The sequence below is a fragment of the Homo sapiens genome, chromosome 9, assembly GCF_000001405.40.
Source record: "Homo sapiens chromosome 9, GRCh38.p14 Primary Assembly".
Lineage (NCBI taxonomy): Eukaryota > Metazoa > Chordata > Mammalia > Primates > Hominidae > Homo > Homo sapiens.
Window position 1 is genome coordinate 12,634,964 of NC_000009.12, and position 16,704 is coordinate 12,651,667.

Sequence of the window (16,704 nt, forward strand, 5' to 3'; positions counted from 1 at the left end):
AAGTGACAGTTCTTAAACTATTTGGAAATTCTAATATGTGATACGGACCTACTGTCTGGGACTAAAAATAACAGTGTTTATAAAAATATGTAGTTTTAAATTTGATATATAAGGTTTGCTTGGACACCACAGATTATGACATAAATTTCACAAATGGTGCTGCAACAGAGAATATCAAGATTATTTTACATTCATTGTGAACCAGGAGTTGTTTTTCCTTTTTTTCCAGACAGCATTAGTTAGACAGAACTGATATGGCACAGATGTACACCAGTGCAGAAAAAAATAATTAGTTGGATAAATAAATATATGTTTGTGTAGTGCTATGTGTGTGTGTGTGTGTGTGTGTGTGTGTGTGTATACACACAGATATCTGTATGTGTGTACATATACAGATATCTTTAAATGTAACAACAATAATGTCATTTATTGTAAACCTGATAGAGCAGTAGAGTGATGATGTTGAAGAGCTTGCCACCTCTACAGTTTAGTCTGGAAGCAGTCTTATACTACCAGGCAAAGCTAGCTACGCTCCATATTTTTGTGGACAACTGTGCTACTTTCATTGCTCCACGGTTCTTTAAAACCAAGAAATTCTAAAGAAGCCCACAGGAAAACAGGAAAATGCTTACTATCCCTAGATTGGTTGCTAAGGACGAAGAGTAGAACAGGGTAGAAAGAATACAGATGTTGGGAATCTGTCAGACCCGAGTTAAAACTCTAGATCTAGACTGAGTGACTTTGGGCAAAGTAAAACTCCATTCCTGCATTTCTCCTCAGAAGCCTGAAGAACTCTTACACATCCATAAGATTCAACTTAAGTGACCTCCCTGAAAATCTTAGTGGTTCTAAAATGAAAGTCTTGGCATTTCTCCCACTCTCCATTGCCCACTGCCTCAAAACTGGCTTTCCCAATCAGCAAAAGAACCTACCTTTCACCCAGTTACTCAGGCAACAATGCTGTACATGGGTGCTGCTTTTTCTCTTTTGTTCAGATACCACATCCAATACACTAAGAAGTCCTGCCAGCAATATCGCTGAAATAAATTCTGAATCTGACCACGTCTCATAACCTACCCCACTACTACGTTAGTTCAAATCCCCATCATCGCCTGGACTTTTATAATAACCTCCTATCTCATCTTTCTGCTTCCACTCTGGTCATCTTGCATTTTGTTCTTCATAGGACAGTTAGAAAGTGTACATCTTTTAAAAGTTACATCTTTTAAAGTGTAAACCAGTGTCTCATACCTGTAATCCCAGTACTCTGGGAGGCAGAGGCAGAAGGATTGCTTGAGGACAGGAGTTCAAGACCCTTGCCTGGCAACATATCAAGACGCTTTTTCTACAAAAAATAGAAAAATTATCTGGATATGATGGTGCACACCTGTAGTCCCAGCTACTTAGGAGACTGAGGCAGGAAGACCACTTGAGCCCAGAAGTTCAAGGCTTCAGTGAGCCGTGACTGCATCACTGTATTCCAGAATGGACAACAGAGTGAGACCCTGTCTCAAAAAAAAAAAAAACAAAAAAACAAACCACAGACACACACACACACACACACACACACACACACACACACACATCAGATGATGTCTCTTGCTTACTCAAAATTCTCCAGAGATTTTTCATCCCAATCAGAAAAAAAAAAAAAATTCCTACCAGATCTTGCATGTCCTGCCCTCTGTAAAACTCTCAAAGTTTCCCATGGATCACATCCTCACTCTATCCTCACTGGCTTTCCTGGTGTAACTTGAGCAATGCCAAGCACACCCTAACTGCAGGGCCTTTCCACCACTGTTTCCTCAGATCTCTCCTCAGATCTCCACATGCGCAACACTCAGGTCATGGTTCACAATCTCTTTCTCAGAGAGTCCTTCCTAGACTACCCCCTCAAAGGCAGTCCTCAGAGTAGTCCTCCTTCCTCAACCCTACATCCTGTTACACTGTTAACTCTTCTTATTCCTCCCTAATATTACAATGTATTTATTTATTTATCATATGTCTCCCCTAATGAACAATAAAATCCATGATAGTAGAATTTATGTCTCTTGTTTACTATCTATCGCCAATGCTACTCATAGTGCTTTGTACATGGTAGGTGTTTTATAAATGTTTATTTAATGAATAAGTATCCTCTGAGTTGTTCCCTCATACCCTCTCCAGACACCCACTTTGGTGCTCTCTGTGATATGTGTCCATTGCACCCAGCGCATCTTCTTTTTTCGAGAACTTACAATGAACTTGTTTACTTTTCTATATCCATCACTAGGTTACGTGGTTTTTGGATTCGAAGACCACATCTTTCTTATTCATTATTGTATGCCCGGTGTCGATGCCCAAATCTATTGTATAATAAATGCTCAGTAATATTGTTGAATCAACTAGTGGTTCATCATAATGCCTGTGGCCAATTCAGTACTGAATAAATGGGAGCTATGATAATAATAACAGGTATTCTTATTTTATGCAACTGGAAACTCCTTAACTAGTGCCCGCCTAAAGAGAGGAAAAAACTAATTAAGAAATAAATATAGGTGTGAAAAACAAGCCATTTGTCATTTCTATTTTAATTGTAGAAGGCACAATCAACTTAGTTTAGATTTATCATCCATAAGGTGGTCACTCAGAGGTGAGGAAGATGCCTGCAGTTTATTTCTAGCATGCTGTGAAGTATTTTCCCAGTCAAGGAAAATAACAGGCATTAGTAGCATTGTATTCATTTCTCTTCTCATACCACTGGGCACCAAAAAGAAACATTCTTTTAGTCTAGGGCTATTACAACACACTTACATTCAACACTGGTTTGAATTTAAGCGTGTGTTTATAGAACGCTCTCGACTAAATAGAAAAAAAAAGACAGGTGAATTTCCTTGTGATTGAAAAGCAGTTGCTAAGCCTTTAGGAAAGCTGTCAAGAGATTACACATGATTTTCAAGAGTAGAGATAAGAGATTATCTTAATCCCTAAAAAAGAGCAGAGTCAAGTGACTGTCAAAGAAATGAAGTAAAATCTGAACCATCGGTTCCTCCAACGCAGTATCATTTTGAATTGCTGTTTTAGGTATTCATTGAAAACAATATACTCCTTGGTAAACTATCTGAATTTTGCATTAGGGTATGAAGAATTTGGGGATTTAATTCTTGTACTCTCATGGAAATTTCTAGTAACATAATTTCCTAGAATCCTAGATTCCTGTGTCTGCCCATGCCTCCTGAACAATATAGGTATTCGTTATTAAAATTTGAGGAGCACGAACATTTGGCAGCCTGTTATGTCATTAGAATGTATGTTCAAAAACCCTTTAAGGGTCAAAACCATTTCAATCCAAACGAGGGTAACAGGAATTATTGTGTGTTTATGGTAACAATGAACAGGTGAATGATTTCAGGTCCAGCACCCTCCATTTGCAATTATGACATTTTCTTTCCTATGTGAACACCATCAGAAATCTTTGATTTCTGGCCTCAGACTTCTGAGAATTCTTAGTCACTATCCAGCTTTAGTCATTCAAGAAATTTTCAGAGTGTTTTTCATTTTGAATACATTGGCACACACTCGAAGACTACAAAACAATGTCTTCATGCTAACACCAAAGGATAATTCCTATGAGACCAGCGAGTAGAAGGCAAGTCTTGAATTTGAGACATTTTCTCTAGATCATTTGATCTTTAACATTTCAACTTGAAAATTTGCTTTCAATCTTATTTAAATGTCATGAATTTGGGTGGAATCTTGAAAATATTTAAGTGGTTGATAATGCATTATTTCAATGCAGGTAACACTTTCCAAATAAAGCATTAACTACACCATATGGCAACAGAAATCCTGTGGAAACCACAAAATGTGTGGTTTAGAAATTCATTGATTTCACTGTTTTATTTCTTTTTAGCACATCTCCTTTTCCTCTCCACCCTTTTTTCCAAAGTCTTACCAGTTCACCACATAATCACATGGTTAGTAACTTCAAGCGGTAGTCCACTTGACAGTAAGGTGACAAATGCTTTCAAAATATAATTTGTTTATGTACCTTTCCAAAATGGGTTATTTTGCACACATTTCCAAGAAATAAGTCCAGAATATAGTAGGAGACATTTGATATCTTCAGTATCTATTATTTGATTATCAACAGGCCTTCCTAAAGAATATACGTAAATCTTAAGAAACACATATATGGAATATTTGATGAAACTGTAGTGCACAAGGAATTTGTTAATTACTTCAGCTATTCAAGGGTTCATTTTTTTAGCTATCTGCAGTGTTCCAGGAAAAGATATTCAGATCTTTTATGTATCAATTCATATTCTTGTGCACAGACATACTTGCATATAAAAACAAATATCAAACCTAATTTAAAAAGAAGAAAAGAAGTCTTTTGAATGGTACAATGGTACAATAATAAGATGTGGAAAGTCAGCATTGGTCAGTGTTGTCACATAATGTTATTGTAAATCATGTAAATAAATATAAAATATCTGTTTTGTTGTTGTTTGCCTGTTTTTATTTTCCGGTTTCTGATATAATTAGAAGAAGCTTATTGAAAAAAAATTCTTGAAAACCCTAAAGAGGATAAGAAGGTTGTAACCTGAACATATCAAATCCACTTTCCCCTAAGTTACTACTTTGGAAAGATATTTCCCAGACTATTATTTTCTGAAAGATAATTCCTAAAGCTGTCATTCTTACCTTGGTTTTCCTTTCTCTCTCTCTCTCTCTCTCTCTCTCTCTGTTTCTATCTCTCTCATTGCTAATGGTACTTGGAAGTTAGTTAAAATTCTCAGGGAATAGAAACAATTATTAAATAACTTTAGATACCTGATATGCCTGACATGACCAAATATGCCCTAAATTTATACTTTCTGGGCTCAGATCGAAGTTCAGATCTAAGTTCAAAGCTCTAAACTAGAAGCTTTAGTATTTTTATAGATTCCAAGGGCAAGGCTATGAATTTTTTACTTTTAGATGTATTTTTTTACTGTTTGTAAAAGTCGGATATCATAAATCTGGTAGTTTCAAAAAAGCTGCAGATTTTTCAATAGTGGCCCTTGTATTTCGATTTAAACCAAATGGGACCAAACTTATTACTTCTACTCTGAAAGGTCATTTTTCATCAAGATTGTATTAGAAAATAAATCATTTAAAGCCATCCTTTGGATGGTTCCTTGCATGAATGTCTTAAGAAGAACACGTAATAAGAGCCTCTTTGCAAAGCCAAGCTTATTTGTTAATTCAAAGTGGTCTAAAGCTGCCACCTTCTGGCACTAAGGTGATATTTCAGTAAATTCAGTATGCTGCTGAAGTGCTATGACATTATTACAACAACCCTCACAGTACCTCCATGAATATCAGAAAGAAGTCTGTAAGCACAACAAAGGCAAACTGCCAACATTCTGCATTTATTTGTGTGAAATATTAAAGCACTATTAATAGAAACAGGTTTCAGAAGTAGAACTCTAGGAACCAAGCAAGAATCACAACTTGGTACTTCATCAATGGCCTTCTTTGAGCCTAGTTAACTTAATTCCTTACTGAAGAAGCATAATTTAAACTTCGAAAATACTTATAAATCTAAATCAAAATATTCAGTTATCTTTGTTTACCAAATATTTGAAAGTATAAATTCATATTATTAAAATATTTTAAATGCATTTATCAATGTTTCTGATTATCAAAGGTAAAATGAAGTCTTTTTAATCCTATTGATAATGCAGGACAGATGATAGCTTTTCATTTTGGAATAATCTCTTAGGATAATTAAGGAACAAAGCCCAGAGCCTGAGTAAATGGGTCAACTGTGAAAATCTACCCAGTTCCATGAATGACCACTTTCTTGTTTTTCTGACAAGGCCATTTTCTTCTTCTAATAGTGAAAATAACAGATTAAGAGCTTTATTGTTTTTCCAATTTCCTATCTTTCATATAATGCTTTTCTCTAAGTGAAGGGCAGTAGGGTTAAATATTTAGAATGAATAAACTAGCTCCAAGAAAAGAAACTGGCAACTTCTGTGATGCTGAGTAATTAAACAGACCTACAGAGCCTGCTGGAATTGTAGAACATAAGCAAAGATTAATGAGGCTTGAAAATGTAGAGTCCCATGGTCTCCAAGCAACGTGCAAGGTGTCTCACCTCAGCTTTGTTCACGTTGAACAGCTGCCCATTTTCAAGGCAAGCAAAATTGTATTTGCTCTTGCTTTGATTCAGAAATAGTTTGGTAAAATCTATGACAAAGTATTTAGCTTTTAAAAGTATCCTAAATTACCTTTTTTGTTCCCATCCGTGGTAGCAGACTTTGCTTTCCGCCCTAGACAGCAGATTTTCCATGAGTAGGTGTGGGTATTCTGAGTTCTTTTCCTAGCTTCCATCTTAATCTGGGTGGTCAATGAACAGAATCTTATACAGAGCCCCATTCACTAGGGTGTAACAGTCAAAATAGAAAACAGGTTATGTCTTCATTCTCTTCTCCCACCACTAGGACCAAAGAGAGGTACACTGCTTCTGGTGGTCAGGGAGTTTTGAAGGTTTACAATATCTTTGGTGAAGAAAACAAAGACTGTCATTTAAAAAAAAAAGTTTCTCTCAAATGAGTTCTAAATTCATGGTTGCTGATAATGCCAAATAGTTATTCCAAGAAGACACAGAAAAATTGGTTTAGTCTTATTTTTAGATTAAGGGGGCACAAAATAACTCCATCTGTATCGTCACAGGGGCTTCATTTATTTAATGTATCTTTTTTTGTCATCGGAAGTGGGGGCCTCTTACAGGGACCTCTGAAATGTTTTAGTCCCTTTATATATATATACATTTAAATTAGGATTTTTGTATGTTCAAACTTAGTCTAGGGTTTTGGAATTATCTGTCTCTTTCCCATAAATATTTACTAAACTCAACCACACAAATGTAAAGTTATACAGGCTTTTAGTGCTTTCCTAACGTGGTTAATACTCATATTGAAAATACCATAAATTCTGATTAATGGCAGATACCAACCTATGGACCACATAGTACAAACTCATGAAGAGTAATTGTTTTCTCATGTTATTTCATCTAATTTTAGTGTGTGTTAAGGGTGCCTTCGGAGAGGACTTCACACCCCTACCCCTCGCCATTGTGTATAGACATTTGAAAATTCCTTAACTACATTATCTCTGTGTGTGTGTGTGTGTGTGTGTGTCTCCCCTCCTCTCTTTCTCTCTGAAATCAAGTACAGATTTACCCAGCCAATAAGATTGTATGTTTCATGAAACTGTTAGCAGTCACATATAGTCTGTTGATTTATTATGTATTATGTACAGTATACACTTAATGATATACAGCATGCTCATTTTAAACGTGATCATTCTATGGACATATAGGGGCAAGAATATTGCTTTTGAACTATAAATAATTTCTTTATCAAACATAAGAAGCTAAGCACTTGAAAATAAATGTCCTCCAAATAAAAAGCCTCTTGAATTACTCGTGTTACGGAATGTTGAGACTTCATTCTATGTGGTATTCTCAATCCACCTTTTTAGAGATTTTTTTTTTCCATTAGGAGAGATGACAAAATTCTCTCTCTATCTTTGTGTGTGTCTGTGTGTGTGTTTGTGTGTGTGTGTGTGTGTGTGTGTATGGTAATTAGTTCAGAAACTAAAAATATATATGTAAATAATCACATGATAAATTTACATAAGATAGGTTAGTAAAGGTCATTTAATTTCTTACATTCTTGCTTTTATTCTCTAGAATACCATTTAGTATGCTATACATTTTCTCAGTTCATGTGTTAAACATGCTACTTCAGTTTGCCCATTTAGGAGCAGACTATATTTTATGTTTAAATGAGTAGAAACATTTTAAACACATTTTCATCTAATTTGGTTATCTGGAAGATGTATCTAAGATAAGGAATCCCTTTGAGTTTTAGAAATTTGCAAACATTTATTGACCAAGTACTTCATTAGAAAAACAAGAAAAGTTTCTGAGCAAGCACTTCTAGTGCATGTAAATGTAGTTGCTCATACATGATGTATACTTAGCATTCTGTAAATATATATTCAAAAATTATACACAGAAATGAGAAATGTATAATAGTTGAGAAAATATTATATAATATTTTAGTTATTTTAATTGTTAAGTGACTATTTCAAAAATACTGATTGAGTAAAGTTTTTTTCATTTCAGTTTTTTAAGTTTTTGTAATAGAATAATTCAAATGTCTGAGTTTAAGAATTTATTCTGGTACATAGTTTGACAACTGTCATAATTAGAAAAAGTTATACAGACATGAACAGACAAAAAGCCATCATTGGCTGTTCTTACTTAATTAAGATAGTCATTTATTATTTTTAGAAATAACCTATTTAAAAATTTGCTGTAATATGGCTAGTAAATGGACATCTTTCTTGATATCAATCAGTTGTTCTGAAAAATTACTTATAATAGTTTTTATTTTATATTTTATACAAATATTTGCAAAGTCAAGAAAAACTTTTCATTTGTTTAAACAGATAATAAATTCTATGTTTAAGTGTTTTAATTGTGCACATATGAAAGATTAGTTATAACTTCACGACATTGAACTTAAAATCACCTAAGATCCAAACATTTCCAAGTATCTCTCCTCAAAACTTTCTTTCTGTGGCATAAGTCTTTCCCAGGAAATCATTATCTTTTCATTCATTGTTAACATTTTACATGTAAGTCTGTTTTTAATTTCTGCTAAGATACCATTTTACCAATTGTCATCAAAGACAAAATCAGAAGTTGTATCACTTATTTTTCTAAGCTGTGTATGGTACAAAAGATTTTTATGAAAGCCTTTTTTGTATTACAAAGTGTTTCAAAAGTCTACTATTTAGCAAAGTATAGTGCACTTACTAGAAAACACTTCAACTGCAACATATTGCAGTATGATGCAAGGAAAGGAAAGCATGAGAGTCAGTTCTTCTTGCCCACTCTTCCTCCAGGATTCTGGATGTACTCAACTATGTTATGTGACCATATGACACACTGGCCAATGGGAAGAAGCCAAGGCAACTCAAACAGTAAATATTAGTAATGTTGAATTATGTTTATTTCACCTAAACATCTAATTACATTTATTTCATGTAAATCTAAAGTCTAATATTTCCTTAAAAATCCCAGTAGAACATTTTGCCCACTGAGGAGGAAATCAGATCCTCATAATCAATAAATATTCTGTCTTGCACTCTAAATTTTGAAAATACAACTAACAAGGACATCATTAATGTGTTTTTTTTTTTTTTTTTTGGTACAAGTCCTATGTCTTTAGAGATCTTCAATGATTTACTTTCTAAGACAAACGCTGTATCCCCTTTATAGATCCTGAATCTTTTATGACAAACACTGTGACCTCTTTTAAATGCATGCTGTTAGTTCCCTTTCAAATAGCCCTTTTAGATTTTGCTAATCTCAGAGTCTCGAGTGCATGGTTTGGTTTTGTTTTTTTCTTTACTAAGTGCCATAATCTCAAACTCCACTGTCATTCACTGTGGCCTGCTAACCACAAGGCACATCTTGGAGGATGTCTTAAGTTCTTAAGTGTAGGTGGAAGAACAGTCTGTAAGTGTGATCTGTTAAAAAATAAAAAATAAATAAAATAAAATAAAATAAAATAAAATAAAATAAAAACTAGGTGTGGCAGTTTCACCTCTGGCTGGTGAGCACTCTCCTGCCATCCTGAGCACAGTTCTTATAAACAGGTAAGTCTTGCATTTAAATGATGGGCCTGTGGTATTTTTTCCCCCATGACAACACTATGGTTGCGGGTGCGTTGGGAGTTTCCTCCCTTACTTTGGGATTCACTTTTCTAGAAACTGGTTTAAATAAAGAAACCTTTAAAAATAATATATCTAATTGTGAGTAAAGATTAGTTAAAATAGTCCTTCATTCTCATTAGCTAGGTTACAAGAAAGCTCTTTTAAAAGAATATAATAAAAATTAAAATGTCAATGAGTGGTTCTAAAATCTCAGCCTTGTTCAGTAATTTTGCTATATGCATTTTCCCAGCATGAATGGTGAAAAGGTCATATGTGATTAAAAAAAATCCATCAGAGTGAATATCAGATTTAACACTATAGTAACATGAAGATAAAGATGTATAATTCAGCTGGCAGCCAAGTTTGGTTATTTGATGCTTGCCAACTCCCAGAAACCTTATTTATATTTGGAAGTCCCTACTAAAAGATTCTTCAATGACTTCTATCATCACAACACAAGCATTATTGTACATTTAATGTGATTTTCTGCTGCCTCTTGGAAAAAAATGGAAAGAATTCAAATCAAGAAGTGAAATTATGAGAAAGGTATATAAAATAAAATGGCCAAGCTTTAAAAACTGTTTTTATTGCCCAATAACACTACTAAGAAGACAAGAAAGGTTTAAGTACAATCTATAAGATAGACACATATCAATTATATAAAATGATTACATATTTCAAACAAAAAGAAAACAGACTGTCCTAGAAATTTTTTGTATTTAAAGAGAAAAAATTAGGATCTTCACTGAATGCATTCCACATGCACAATGGACTCGTTCCCCATCACTCAGAATGTGAAGCAAGATGTAATAAGTCCCTGCTTATTCAATCTGTTTCAGGCAAGCATAAACAAGAAAGCAACAAACAGCTAAGGAATTATGGCCAGACTGTATTTTCAGGCTTCTTGAAAATTATTTCACAAAGGACATTAAACATATCACATCCCATAGGAAAAGGAATGGTAGGAATGAGATCTTTGCCCTGTTAATTTCATTTCAAATCTTGTTAAAATTAAAGAGTTAATAAAAGCCTTGGTTTTCAGAACCAAGAAACATCTTAGGGGACATGATATAGCCAAGTTTTATTTCATGATCCCATAATACCCCTCTTGTTGAGTGATTGCCAAGCTGGGGTCAGGTATTATCTTCAGCAGCCTCCGGTGGTTTGCCAAGGCCACATTCACTCAACTTTCAAGAACATTAGGCCTGGGCATACTCCCTCATCTCCTCGATAACATATTTTGGAAAGATATATAAAGTTCAAGGTAATTAAAATAACAAAGAGTAGATTGGCAAGGTACATTTGTTTACTTGTTTTTGTTTTGATTATATACTTGTTCAACTTATAGTAAATTAATTTTCTGAAAATACAAAAAAACTCAAAAAAACCTATATTTTCATGTGTATTCAGCCATATGATAAACTTGTATTTGCTACCCATTGAGAGACTAAGATGGTGCTAGACACTGAAAGACCTAATGAGCAACACATAGTCCCTAACCCAGAGAGTTTTTATTCTAGAATGAGAAACTGACAAGTAAGCAGGGAATTCATAAACATTATAAAGTGTATAATAAAAGACAACTGGGAAATTTAAAAATTTTTTTCAATCAGTTTAGGTTGGGAATGAGGCTAGTAAGAATAGACTTTCTAGTGTAAGTGAGTCTCAGAAGACTTTGCTGAAGGGAATGGAGCAGATGAGAGAAAGAAAGTGTCCCAAATGATACACATTGTTGCTAATGCATCGAACATAGTGCATTGAAGGAATGGGGATGCCAGAGTATTTCAATTTGGCTGGAGGATAGATATTGAGAGGCAAAAAAATAAAACTGAAGAGGTAAGTAAGCACAGGCCCTGAATTGATGTTGTCAAGTTTGCACTTTATCCTGAGAGCAAAGATAAGCCACAACAACTCTCAGTGATGGATATTATTATGTTCATTATAGAAAAAGGAATTTGAGGGAGGCTGAGGCAGGCAGATCACCTGGGGTCAGGAGTTCAAGACCAGCCTGACCAACATGGTGAAACCCTGTCTCTACTAAAAATATAAAAATTAGCCGGGTGTGGTGGTGCGTGCTTGTAATCCCAGTTACTCTGGAGGCCGAGGCAGGAGAGTCGCTTGAACCTGGGAGGTGGAGGTTGCAGTGAGCCGAGATTGCACCATTGCACTCCAGCCTGGGCGACAAGAGTGAAACTCCGTCTCAAAAAAAAAAAAAAAGAAAGAAAGAAAAAAATAACAAATTTGAGATTCAAAGATCATAAAAGATCATATGTGATTTTTGAAGGTAATTTAATGATGTATAAGTTTGGGTTCTGACAAGAAACAGATAGCACACTTGAAGGGTAACTGAGGAGAGTTGAATAAAGGGACTATTGAGGAAGGGACTATTGTTCAGGGTGTAGGGACATCAACAAGGAGTCAAACCAAGTAGGAAGTCCTTATTATTGCTAGGCTTAAAGGGCCAAGGGGAGAGAATAATTATCAAAATGCAGTAAGAAAAAGATGTGTAGAGAAGGCCATGTGACATTCAGTAAAGGGAAGCCTCTTATCCACTGTGCCCAACAGGAAGGGAGCAGGGGCAATAAAATCCTTGATCCCACGTTGCATTGGTTGAATCTAACAAGAAACTAGATGTATTAGTCCGTTTTCCTACTACTATAAAGATACTACCTGAAAGTGGGTCATTTATAAAGGAAAAAGATGTAATTGACTCACAGTTCCACAAGGCTGTGGAGGCTTCAGGAAACTTACAATTACGGGGAAAGGAGAAGCAGGCACCTATTACATGGTGGCAGGTAAGAGAGGTATTGTGTGTGGGAGGAAATGTCAAACATTTATAAAACCATCAGGTCTCGTGAGAACTTACTTAGTATCATGAGAACAGCATGGGGGAAATTGCCCCCATAATCCAATCACCTTCCACCAGGTCCTGCCCTGGACATATGGGAATTATGGGGATTACAATTGGAGATGAGATTTGGGTGAGGACACACAGCCAAACCGTATCACCAGAGGATAAGAGAGCCTTTTGATGCAGTCTGAGGATACAAATCATGGTGGAGAAAGGTGGGGAGAGGATCTAAAGGGGCAAAGAGGACAAGCAGGAAATCAACAGCAAAGCTCAAATTTAAGCATGATCTTCTGTCTCCCAAATCCCAAATCATTAGACATAGTGTAAAAAAAATAAACAAATTATATATTATTATATGTATTTTATTTATATATTATATATATATATAATCAAGCACAATAGTTACTTTTATAGGCCAGTATTCTTTTTCCATTTCTATATAAGTAAAATATATTGGCAGTATGTTAAAATTAATTATTTATTAAAAGAACAGACTTTTAAAATCTAGAATTGTCTGGATAATTAAGAACTGTGGCATAGAATTTGGGCAGTAGAATTTACCTCTATGTTCCCACAAAGAATGCAGTGGTATTAGTGCTGTATGAAATAATAGAAAAGAATAAATGAAAATTCATTTAAAATGCAAATAATTATTAAAATACCTTGAACTTCACAATAAAATATCTAAAATAATTAGGATTCATGCAATTTCACATTCATTTACTTCACTGGTAAACCAACTTACCAGTGTAAAGTGCCTTAAAGAAGAAAAAAAGTTTTATTATTTTTTGTTTCCTTAAAATACTGAAGTATCTTTTGTACTTTCAGTAAATTATGTATTTAATTTCTCATATTCATCTTTGATAAATTTAGCCAAAGTTCTAATTGCACATTTTATTTTCAAAAAAAAAAAAAATACGTAGCCCAATACAATATACTCTAAGAAAATGGAAAGAGGAGAATCATTCTTCATGAAGCATCCTATAGTTATCTTCCAGGAGGAATAACAAAATTGACATACAGAATGTGCATAGAAGCACTTAATGGGAAATAATTTTATTTCTACTGAGGATAAACTAGATTGTTAACATATTCAATTCACCCAACTTCCCCACACCTCCATTTCTTCCTTCAGAATTTGAAGTAGTCAAATTAGATGACCACTCAGATTTATCCAGCTCTGAAATCCTATGATTTCTAGATAATTAAAACAGCCATGTCTGCAATTAATAATACTATACCAATAATACAGGAATGAAGAGCCCTGAGTTCTTCCACTTAGATGCTATTAACAAAAATCAAAACTCTAAGTGAAAATCTATTTGCATGTAAAATAGGGGCAATAATGTAAAATTTCTCATGGAATTATAGGGAGAATTAGATGAAAAATGAATGCACAGTGATTCCAAAAGATAGCTCTGTATAAGAGAAGTAATAAATACCATTCACTCTCTGTGAATCTGTAAGATTGCAATAAACATTCCCTACCCTATTTCTGTAGCTCCTTGCTGATAACAGTTTTTATCTCGCTGAATGCTGCTGCTAGTCCCTCAGGGACTACATTTGCTGAAAAAATTACATGTTTTATGGTTTCTCTCTGTTTGATCAGCATCTTGTTCACTAGAGCAAGAATGAAAAGTATAAACATGGAAATGCTGCTGAGGATAAAATATCAGACTAAAAGAAGCTGCTGTCTTCCTCCCAACTACCTCACCCTTAACTCATTCCAGTGATGTTTTCAAAATGGAGGAGAGTTTACAAATTAGAACTAGTGAAAACCTGTAATAACTTCCTAGGGAAACAAATGTATTTATATTTGAGTCTCATTGTAAGACAGTAATACCCACAGTGGAAGAGGGGTGAGTAATACTGGGAAGCTTCTCCAGGGGAAAATATTTTCAGTTCCATTTTTTTTTCTTTTACCTGCATTTCCCCTAGAGGATCATCATCTGCCCCTTTGCTATAGAACAGGCTGAAAAAATCTTGCTGTATCTGCACTGGTGTGGGAATGAGAGAGAAACCTCAGGTTATACTAATTCCTGCTGGGGTGGCAAGTGAATAAGGGGTGCAGGTATTTCTGATGGCCCTCAGTGGCTCCTTCCACCACCTCTACTCCAGCACACAAATGCAGGTCTCAGTAAACGGTTAAAAAATGGACATTCATCTAAGAGGCAAGGTCTCTAAAGAGAAAGCAAATCAAGACCAATCTCAGATTATACTTCCAGATATTCGCCACTCTGAAGCTCAATTCTTTCCTACTCTTAACTCTGCAGGGGCAGGCAAAGCTAGAACCTAGGTTTCAGCCTTTTGGGAAGGCAATATTAAGTAACGACTATTTACAGGGAAATGTAAGCTCTCAGGGAAAAGCTATAAGATTTCTTACATCAGCAGAGCACAAATATTACAAAAGAAAATAATCATACCAAAAATCATACAAGGGATAAAGCCAAATTTGAGTTCCAAATAAAACAAGAAATTAAAGATACTGAATATTTTCAAAGAGTAACAGAGAATGGTAACATGACTTATGAATAAATGTTTATAAGAAGACAATTGGAAATATATGGTATAAAAACATGTTAATGTGCATAAAGCATCGAAAAGAAGTGTTGAATAACAAACTGAGCACAATGGAAGAATGTATCAATGAGCTGGAAGATCAAATAGTGAAATTTTCCAGGAAGTATTAGGAAGGCATAAAGAGAATATAACGTCAACTTAGGACATAGCCATTTAGACAGGTAAAATAGAAGTGTCAAAATCTGTATAGAGGCAGTCACCAAAATAAAAATAAAGTATAAAGAAGAAATATCTGAAAAAGTATTAACTCAGAAATTTCCAGAATTAAGAAAAATAAAAAAGTAAAATGCCAGGGAGGAGGGAGAAATCCTAAATACTTGTAAGTTGCCAAATAGAATATTTACAAAGAATAAAACCTGAACAAAAATAGTAAAATTTTAAGAATTTCAAAATAGAGAAACGTCTAAACACTTTCAGAAAGAAAGGTAAGGAAAAATAAACAAATTTTCAATACATTTCCAACAGCAATATGGATTGCAAGAAGAAAATGGTGTAAAATCTGCAAGGTACTAAAGGAAAATAACAACAGAGTCAGGATTTTTTGTCTAATTAATGTAGCATTTAAATGCCAGAATAAAATAGACATTCTCAGTTATAAAAGGCTTCAGAATGTTTTCACCAAAAGAACATGTATGAAAACAACCTTAAAATATTTCGGCAAAATAAAGGAATTAATCCCAAAAGATATACTAACAACAAGGATAAATAAATAACTTAGAAGAAAAATGTACCTCATTCTGCATCTGGATCATAGCCAGCTTATAGTAGCCCAACTTACCCTCTTAGGGTTCATTGATCTCTAGGCTTAACTGCACTGCAGTTACTGCTTTGTCAACTAGCCTGATATTACTATGTAATGGGAGTCAATTTAGATCAATAATACTTGGAAAATTTGAGTTACATAGAAATGAATGAAGGGTGTTTACTACATGGGTGATACTCAACAAATGTATTTAACACTTGCAAATTTCACCTTATAAATTTTGATCTGAAAAAATTAATGAAGTATCATCTCTCTAGCTCAATAATAGACACACAGTAGCCATCAGAAAACATCAAGTTCATTTTTTCCCTTCAAATTACCAGTAATATGGGCCTAAGCAAGTGAGAAGCCCACACTGGAGAGCTGCTGAGTCAGATGAGCATGTGCACATTCTAAGAGTACTGTATTGTGTTGATTTTTATCATAAATTATGGTTAAATGCCCCTTCTAGCTATAAGCTGTACTAGAGGCTCTGCTCTAATACTACTCTAGGGTTTCTGCCTCCTTTCTGGTATCTATAAATTTTTGAAAATCCCAAATTTTCCAGTTTATTTAGCTCAACTTTTAGAGGACATACACAGAAACTTATTATTGATATAAAAATGATGTCTTCTGGATAAAATACAGACTTTTTTTTCACAGAACCAAAACAATACATATCAATGATACATAAACATAAATTTACATATGCCCTACTCATGTCAACATTACAAAAAGTGGCAATCATGAACAACCATGTGAATAATTT

At 34.5% G+C, this 16,704-nt stretch overlaps 4 annotated features.

Annotated features, from left to right (window-relative positions):
- Positions 1,229-1,373: an enhancer, noted in NCBI's record as "145 bp 9:12636264 sequence used in MPRA reporter constructs". NCBI's record gives its function as "activates a minimal TATA-containing promoter with rs12376903 allelic activity by MPRAs in C283T melanocytes {active_cell/tissue: C283T}" and the evidence as "EXISTENCE:reporter gene assay evidence [ECO:0000049][PMID:36423637]".
- Position 1,301: a transcriptional cis regulatory region, noted in NCBI's record as "rs12376903 or 9:12636264 MPRA-significant variant associated with a GWAS melanoma risk locus at 9p23". NCBI's record gives its function as "allelic transcriptional activity by MPRAs in C283T melanocytes {active_cell/tissue: C283T}" and the evidence as "EXISTENCE:reporter gene assay evidence [ECO:0000049][PMID:36423637]".
- Positions 16,305-16,449: an enhancer, noted in NCBI's record as "145 bp 9:12651340 sequence used in MPRA reporter constructs". NCBI's record gives its function as "activates a minimal TATA-containing promoter with rs1408794 allelic activity by MPRAs in C283T melanocytes {active_cell/tissue: C283T}" and the evidence as "EXISTENCE:reporter gene assay evidence [ECO:0000049][PMID:36423637]".
- Position 16,377: a transcriptional cis regulatory region, noted in NCBI's record as "rs1408794 or 9:12651340 MPRA-significant variant associated with a GWAS melanoma risk locus at 9p23". NCBI's record gives its function as "allelic transcriptional activity by MPRAs in C283T melanocytes {active_cell/tissue: C283T}" and the evidence as "EXISTENCE:reporter gene assay evidence [ECO:0000049][PMID:36423637]".